At 35.3% G+C, this 9,220-nt stretch overlaps 1 long non-coding RNA gene across 1 annotated transcript; it reads left to right on the forward strand.

The window, feature by feature from the left end:
- Nucleotides 1-6,509: 6,509 nt before the first annotated feature.
- LOC105376730 (uncharacterized) lies at nt 6,510-8,619 on the forward strand. Its single transcript, XR_932746.2, has 2 exons — nt 6,510-6,866; nt 8,365-8,619. It is a non-coding gene; the product is annotated as an uncharacterized LOC105376730 (long non-coding RNA).
- Nucleotides 8,620-9,220: the final 601 nt, after the last annotated feature.

A 9,220-nucleotide genomic window follows, 5' to 3' on the forward strand; every position in this document is an offset into this window, starting at 1 on the left:
AGCATCTTCCACTACTTATTTCAGCATTATCTGCACAATGCTTCCCCTCACTTCCTCACAATGTGGTTTCAGGCACAACTCCCAAGGCCCCACTCTGGCCTCGGGGAGCAGATTGTTCCCCCTGCAGGAAAACCTTTGTTCTCCACTCAGTTAACTGCTGTTTACCCTTTAGATCTCAGCTTCAGTGTTGCTTTCTTAGGGGAAACTTCTCTGACTCACATCAAATCCCTCTCTTATAGTAATTTTCATTGTATTTCAGAGTAATTTTTATGGTTGCAATTTTACATTTGTGTGATTGTTTGATTAATCTCTGTCTCCTCCACGAAAACTCCAAGATGCAGGAACTATATCTTACTGGCATTCAGCACAATACCTGGCACATAGGTGTTCAAAAAATACTAATAGGGTAAATAAATGAATTAATTTTATGCTTTTATTTTAATATTTTCATGGTATTAATATTTCTCTCTATGTGATATTTTGTATGTACATATTTTCTTTTAATTTGAAGATTTATAGTTTATTTTAGTTATGTGCTGTATAAATTATATTTAGTTCTTTAATTTTTGTGTTATTTCCAAGGGTCCTCTCCATTGACTCTTTTAATATAGTTCCACTTTACCCCTTAAACCCACTTTCCTCTCCCACCGTCGTCATTCAACTTTATTTGATTTTGTTATTTTTAATTTTTCTAAGAATGACCTTTATCTTTTAAAATAATATTTAATCACCCATAACATAATTTGTTGATTCTCTCCCACTGTGAAAGTTGAATGGACCAGAATATATTTCTACTATCTTTCTCTTCTTATTTTTGTTATGAATATAATTAGTCTTTATACAGTTATGGTTTGTAACATCTGCATTCTGTTCTTTAACCGCAAACCCCAGAACATTTTGATATTAGGCTTCAGAATGCTCACTTGTATCATGTTATCTCTATTCATTTTTAGTGGATAGTTTTCTTTTTCAAGTTTTTCTGATAGAGATGGGGTCTTGCTATGTTGCCCAGGCTGGTCTTATCTTGAACTCCTGGGCTCAAGTGATTCTCCTGCCTTGGCCTTTCAAAGTGTTGGGACTGTAGGTGTTAGCCCCTGCGCCTGGCCTCTAATAGTTGTCTTCATTAAAGCCTCATGGGGACTCTATTTTTTTGTGTGTGTGGGTTGTTTATTTTGTGTTTGTGAAGTCCGGTAAATTCAGTTGCATCTGCCTTGATGTGGTCATACTATAACACATTTTTTCTGGATAAAGATAAGCCCTTTAACCATTAGATTCAATGTTTTCTTCATTTCAGAAAAGTTTTCTTTTATCTTTGAATTTTTTAACCAGATATTGTGAGCTCTTTCACACTAATTTCTCATTTGTTGGACCTGACTTTAATGTTACATTTCACCTTCTTGTGTTTTCTATTTCGTTTTGCTCAGGATATATTTAAGCCTGTCATTTATATTCTTATCTGTGTTTTTAGCAGCATTATTCTCTCCACTTCCCACTTTTTCTCCTGCTTTTATTGATCTTCATTTCTTTCATGGTTGTCTTTACTCATTACATCCTGAATTTTGCCAGATTATTTTTTATCACTTTATTTTGTATTTATTTTCAATTATGTCTTCTAAATATCATTTCAGAGAGAAAACATTTTAGAGAAGGCATATTTTTAAAAAACAGAAAATTTGATCCTATTTTTTACTGCTTCATGGTATAATTTGTATGTTCTGTACCTTATGTAATTTTCCCTTTTTCTTCTAGTATTTTTATAAAGGTCATCAAGTTTTATTTTTGTAATACAATTATTATAAATAATTATATAATATTATTAGTCTTTGAATATTCTAGATACTTGTGAAAGGATATTGTGGAGGAGGAGCTGGGGGTAGTAAGTATGATGGAAGGCAGACGAGTTTTGGAATCTTGTCTCCAAAACACTCTCATCTGTTAGAATGACTCCTTGGCTATAGGATTGACTATGGCTTAGAGTGGATTCATAGTTGTTAATTTGGTCATGTGACTTGTGACTTATCCTTTTCTTTTCATAATAGAATGAAAATTGCCATCTGTCTGGCTTCTTCCCCATCTTTTTGCCTTCTTTCATTACACCACACACGTGTCCTAATTATTCCAAAGGTGATACATTTGCATGTTTCCCTTTAAACTCCTTTCCCTCTGTCACTCTGTGGAGGGTTCACATGCTGCAATATTTCTGTTCCAAGTAAAGATCACAGGTTTTGATCCTCAGTCCTCAGTATACACACCTCTTTTAGGGATTTCTGGGCTTCTTGACTAGCTCAAGCTCTTCAGAGGCATGCACTTTATCTTGGTGTTCAGTCTTGACTGGTTTAAACTTTTGATGTCCAGAAGGTTTTCTTCATTTGTTGTTGTGTGGAATTGGAAATATTTTCTAGCTTTTGTAAGGTTGTGGCTCATATTTATATTTCTCCTGGTTTGAAAGAAGAGAGAGAAAGAAGTATCTCAAATTGAGACTCTTAGATTGGAAATCTGAATTTATTTACACGATTGAGATTGATCTAGAGTTTTATTTTTTCTGCTGTAACTGAAATTTGGATTCAAGATTATATGTGTTTTGTGAATATGTTTGGTAACATTGTGACTTTTCTATAATTTAGGGAAGTTTGATGTAGGAGAAAGAGAAAAAATTTTTGAGAGAATCCTAAATTCATATATGGCCTAACCTTTTAATATCTATGTAATTTTAGATAATAAATAATTTGTTTGAGATTATGTGGCTCTAACAACACCTGCTTCACAGTGTAATTATGAGGATTTCATAGAATTTGTATAGTGAGCGTTAGTTTTGATGTTACTTTAAACCTCTTTGCCTTATACATTCTATTTTTTCCATGGAATATTATATGATTTCATGTCCACATATTAATCTCATACTTTCAATTACATTTTATGTTTAAATTGAATATTATGGTAATCGTTATGTAAATGATTAAAAATTTAAAGGGACAACATTTAATGTTGCTCTGGAATTCACTTTTAGTCATAAAATAAAGATTTAAAGTATCATCTGTAGACAATGGCAAAAGGCCTTTTTTGTCATAAGAAAATCAAATATGCTTTATTTCACCCAATTAACAGTTTCTGGGCTTGGCCATCCCGGGAAAACCAAAATGACCATAGGCGGTAATTCCCCAGGCCGTGTGATCTCAGTCTGGCATTCTCGGATCTCCAAGGCATCACTTTGGCCACTACCCTCTGGGGCTGTGATTAGCAGCTCTCTTCCTGTTTTATGCAGCTCTGTGTGTATGTCTGCAGTGATGCCGTACTGGATCTGGTTCATCTTGAGAGAACTATACCTATCTGAATTTTTGATGATGCTGTTTTCTTAGTTCCCTTGGCAAAACAGGTAGGTGAGGGATAGAAATAAAATCTATACTTAGTAAATCGGTGAGCCAAGGTCTGTGACTGGCAATGAGTGAATTACATTCTCCTCAGTTGGGTGCAATGTCTGCCTTCTGTGTGGCCATTTGCTGTTGCCACTAGAGAAGGAGGATGCAGCAGGGATCAGGCACCGTGGAGAAAAGTCGCCGTGTGTAGGCAGCTAAGAATGTAGGAAAATGAACATCTCGGCTCCCAAAGGACGAGAATAAAGCTGTAGAAGAATGTCAGGGAGGAATCTGAGTTGATAGTATGACTATTCATCCTTCTTCCCACATTTTCCCGACTGTTTAGCCCTACTTTTCTTCGCGTTGGGTCTCATTTTCCTTCCTGTGTGGCCTGTGCCTTATGGTCAGCTCGGACGTCCATCAGTCTATCAAATGCCTAGAAACCTTTCGCCCTTTGTCACCTTCTGTGTCACCCAGCATTCCCCTTCTCAGCCCTTTTCATTCTCATGGTGGAATCCTTTTGGTTTGATTTCAAGGGTCCAGCACTGTTGATGTCACAACAGAGTGGCATGGAAAGTTTCTGAAAATTTTGTCATCTAACCTCTCGTGGGGACTTTTAATTAATTCAGCTTTTGACAACTCCATCACATTCATTATATTATCCATTCATTCATTCATTAATACATTTGACATTTATAATGTGTGCCAACAATGTGCCAGGTCAAAACTGCCCACTTACAATGTAGAACATTTCTGTAAATTTTATTTCAATTTTCTTGTATTTCTTCTCCTTTATTCTACCATCCCACTTGATCTTCTGCCACAGAAGTTCTCTTCTCTCTCTCTTTGTTCTCTCTTCTCCTCCTTTATTCTTGATACCTGCTTCTGTGTTGGCTCCTCTAGGCCAGCACTTGTCCTCCTACCTCTGTGATGTTCTGTCTAGTTTATTGGTTCCTTTTCCTACTTTACATAATCAATGTGGATAGTTTCTATAGTTGGGTCTTTGCTTTTTAATCTTTTTTCCTGTATATTATTTCCTTCAGGGACCTTATGCAGTCTTACACATCCGTCCATTATTTTTATATGGATTACTATACAATTACATGTTGAATTTGTACTTTTCCCCCATATATCCTGTCATATGTTTTCACCTGAGCATCTCAATATCTAATACTCTTATTTGCTTAAAATACACGTGATTATTTTCTCCACCTGACATATTTTATGTTCAACTTTCTAATTTCTAAAAATGGACCTACCATTGTCCTATGTATTCGTGCTTAAATCTTGATATTTTCTTTGAGTTCATGCTCCTTCGTATTCACTCCAGCTGTGATAAGTCACCAATCCTTTGGGTTTTTACTTACCAGTATTTCTATTTCTGTTTCCATAGCCTTAAAGCTGGAACTGTGTAGTCCCAGTTCCTCTGTGTAGCCCCCCAAGTCTGCTCTATTTCAATCTTCTCTTAAGGGAACTCCTTCCCTCCGTTTTTCTTTTCCTCCATTTGATACATCGCATTTATAGATGGGGCATCTTCCCTAATTACTGGCTTCATCCTCAATTCCCGGGACCCATACCTTCACTGGCTCCCTAAATTTATTTAATAATTCTCATATACCTTTGAGAAGTTTCTAATGATAGGCAACAAATGAATCTTGACTACCTTTCTTATTTTCCTTTCTTCACCAAAATGATTTTTAGGATGTAGACAATCTGTATGCTTCAACATACACCAAACTTACCATTTTTGAAATATTTTACAATCTACTTGAAAAGACTTCTTTAGACCCTATATTCATGTATTGTAATATTTATCCTCTTTTATGGCTATACTCAAATGCCACATCACTATAGTGCCTTCCCTCATCACTGTAGCTATCTCTTTTCACTCTACTTATATTGTAGAGGATTTGTTACACTTCTTGAACTGCTGATCTCAAGCGATTTGCTTGCTTTGACCTCCCAAAGTGCTGGGCTGACAGGCGTGAGCCACTGCACCTGGCCTGATTTGTTCCACTTCTACTATATGCATCACACATGCCTGATGCATATTTTAATGCACGTTGGATAAGGATCGGCTTTGTACGACTTCAGTCTTTCTTGATGTGTGACACCCACTTCTATTTTGGCTCCACTTTAACAAAATGAATAAGTGAGAAGGTAATACTGGAAACAGAACATAACTGTGACTAGGAATTTGGTCTTGACTCGCCATTTAATTTTCTGATGTGCATGACTGTTTTCTTCACATGTGAAATTTAACATGAGGTTGAAACTGGAGAATTTTATATTTTTCATGAAAAAGGCAATTTGGGAGAAAAGTCCATTTTCCTGAGGATAAGGTATTGTATGGTTTGACTGCTTTGCCTTGGCTGGTCAACACATTTGTACACCTGAATAGGCACAGTTTTCAGAAATCCTTTCAAGCATCTACCAATTCTCCTGTCTACAAATTTACCTTCCTCCCATTTCTCATTCCTAATGACAAGGGAAATATCCAGTGTTATCTGAAGTGGTCATAAAAGACTTTTTTTTTCTTTTTATGTGAGGAATTGAAACTTATGGCTTTAGATTATGGGGCTTACCATCAAGGAAAGGGCGTAGCGTGGTCAGAGGACAAAACTTCTTCCTGCATTTCTCAGGAAGTCTTTGATTAGTGTGTCCACCTAGGAGCAATTTTTTTTTGCGGGGGGTGCTGGGAAATATACTTAAGTGATTAAATCCAAGTGTAGACATGAGAGCTTTACCTAAAGCCAGGTCTAATTACCATACCTGAGAATCAGGGAGTATTTAAAATTTGAGAAATAATTTTCTATACTTGAAAGTCACTTATGTAGGTAGCCCTCAGATTATAATAAATAACGTTTATTGTGCTATACTATGTGGTAGGTATGAGGTTAAGTATTTTTACCTATATTATATCACTTATTTCTTACAAATGGAGCAAGGGAGCAAGCAAGCAAGGGAGGTATTATTATCCCTATTTTATGTATTTATGTATTTATTTTTGATTTCTATTCTTTTGGTTTTTTTGTTGTTTTTTATTGATGTATCATAGTTGTACATGTTTTGGGGTACATGTGATATTTTTGATACATGTATACAATGTGTAATGATCAAATCAGAGTAATTTGGATATTCATCACCTCGAATATTTATCTTTTCTTTGTGTTGGGAACATTATAATTTTTCTCTGCTAGCTATTTTAGAATATATAATAAATTATTGTTCCCTATGATTTCTCCATTGTACAATTGAATACTAGAATTTATTATGTCTATCTACATATCCCCAGTTCAATAACTATAATTTCTCTGCTGTGCAATCAAATACTAGAACTTCTTCCTTTGAACGCTATATCCCTAATTCAATAACAAGTAAACTGAAGCTCAGCATGGTCTAGGAACTTTGTTACGTTAACACAGCAAGTGAGTGTTGCAGCCTGGATCCAAAAATCAGGCCTGGTCGACCTCAAAGTCCAGATTATTGACCTTTCTACCATAATGTATGGAGGTAAGTTTGTGAATTTATTCAAAAATCAGGCCTGGTCAACCTCAAAGTCCAAATTATTAACCTTTCTACCATAATGTATGGAGCTAAGTTTGTGAATTTTCATAGTTTTAGGATTTGAAGATAAAAGAGGTGAAAATTTGGAAACGGTTTCTGGACTTTTGAATTTTGGCAAACAGCTATGTGATAAGTCCACCCTGCAGACCCACAACTTTTGGAAATAACTCTACTGTGACCTTCAGTAGCAGAAGCTGCTCCTGGGGTGGTAGAACACAAGGAAAACACACACTAGTAAAAATTTCATGTGGCTTCTTTGTTCTGTACATGTGTTTCTCTTGATTAGTATATGGTAGTATCCTCAAATCATAGTAACAAGTATACTTTTTCCAGTGAATTGCATGTGTATATTATTGTATAGTATAAAAGGCAATATTTCCATTTATTATCATCTGTGCTTTTCAAAGAAACTCTGTGAGTCCAACAGGGCAGATAATAGAAGCAACTGCCCTTTCTCTCCCCCGTTAAATGCAACCCAATGTCAAAGTCCGTAGCATCCCCAAATGAGTGTGTTAAAGGTGAGAAATTCCCAGAGTCAAACTCAGTAGCATCCTTGAATGAGTGTATTAAAGGTGATAAATTTATTTTATTTATGTTCTTTTTAACCTGTGTTCTCAGAAACAGAGACTACTGTATTTCATCCTACCTTAGTCTTGCTTAGCAGTTTCTCTTCTCCTTTGAGGCTCTTTTATTTTTAAATCATTATTTATATCTTCTAATTTCCCCTTTCTCCCATTCTTCCCATATTTTTAATCTTTTTTTAACTTTATCTCTCTTCTACTTTTTCTGTATTTCAAATTGATCCATAGACTTTAGAAAAATGAGTTGAATGCTGGCTGTAGGCTGTCTTATCCCCAGCAAGAAACATGTTGTAAAGTCTTAGTACCTTCCCACTGGAAGATCATTAGTCATGGCTACTATGTTTTTAAATGAGAATTGTTTTAATTATGCATTTTAAAATTATTGGAAAACATGAGGGAGAGGAATGAACCATAAGTAATAAAGATTATTGACTTGAAGTTAAGACCTTACTATGATCTGGGATTATTAGTCTTACTTGTCAATCAAGAACTATCCACTTTCTATTTGTTTGTGGGTATCTAATATGGTTATATACACAGAAGTAATGATAATTGATATGAAAAGGTCTCCTCCTGTTATATCAATTTAGGTATTTTTCACACATTGTGTACCTCATTCTTCTCCTATTCAATTTTCACTAATTCCTAAAGGGTCAGGTCAATGTCCTTGGCATAACCTCCTCCACCTGTTCTTAATGGCAATTGTATCTTCTGCCCTCCAATATCTATAACACTTTTTTCTTTAAAACTCTTTGAATGTTTATCTTAATACTCATTTGATATATATTGTATACCACATATGATTGTTTGTTATATGTACAATACATGTTTTTTCAACTTTTTTTGGTTCTTTCCATTTACAGGAATTAGAGAAAGAACTAATCAGTGTGAAGGAGAATTGTCAGTAAAATTACAAGAAAAGATTGAGATCATAATTGACCTTTGAGGATAATAAAATTTAAAGACCAAAAGGATGGACTTCACAGAAACATGAACTTAGGTTGTTTTTGCAGTTGTAGTAACTGGTTATATGACCAACAAAATATGAAGAATGGGTACAAATTCTGATAGTAATGATCAGTCACTTTGCAAATATAAAGTTACTATTTACTACTGTATTGTACAGGTTCAATAATCTTTGTGTACACATTTTATGTATTTATTGTCAGGCTGCTATATAATTCAGTATTTATAATAGATACTATGTATAGCAATCTATGGTTAGTTTTGGTCTTAACCAGGAAAAATCACTCTTTTGAGTTTTGCTGTTTTTACCAGATTATTTTTACTGGATGATTGCTCATATTATTTGATTATTATTGCAATTTGTCTTTCTGGAATAGGAAGCAAGAGGCCTGAATTCTGGTTCCTATTCTATCAATTGTGTGAATTCTGGAAACTCAGTTTACTTTTCTGGGCCTCATGTTTTTCATCTGAATGATGACCAACTTGGATTAAATGGTTTTTATATAATTCCGTAGGCATTTCCCTTCCCAAGGGCTTGAGTCTTTTTCAACAGTTATAGAGTTTTCCGGTCCCTCTTCCCAGTGCCTCGGCACCTTGCTATTCATGTTCATCTGATCAGTTGTTTGCACGCTGACTTACATTACCCTGATGGGCAGTACCTGTGGCTGTTTCTGCTCCCTCACCCAGTCCATAGGCTTCTGGTTGTAAAAAGTGTGCATCTTGAGACTGTGGACAGTTAGCTCCAGAGGTGAC

This window comes from Homo sapiens, chromosome 15 (assembly GCF_000001405.40).
Source record: "Homo sapiens chromosome 15, GRCh38.p14 Primary Assembly".
Classification (NCBI taxonomy): Eukaryota; Metazoa; Chordata; class Mammalia; order Primates; family Hominidae; genus Homo; species Homo sapiens.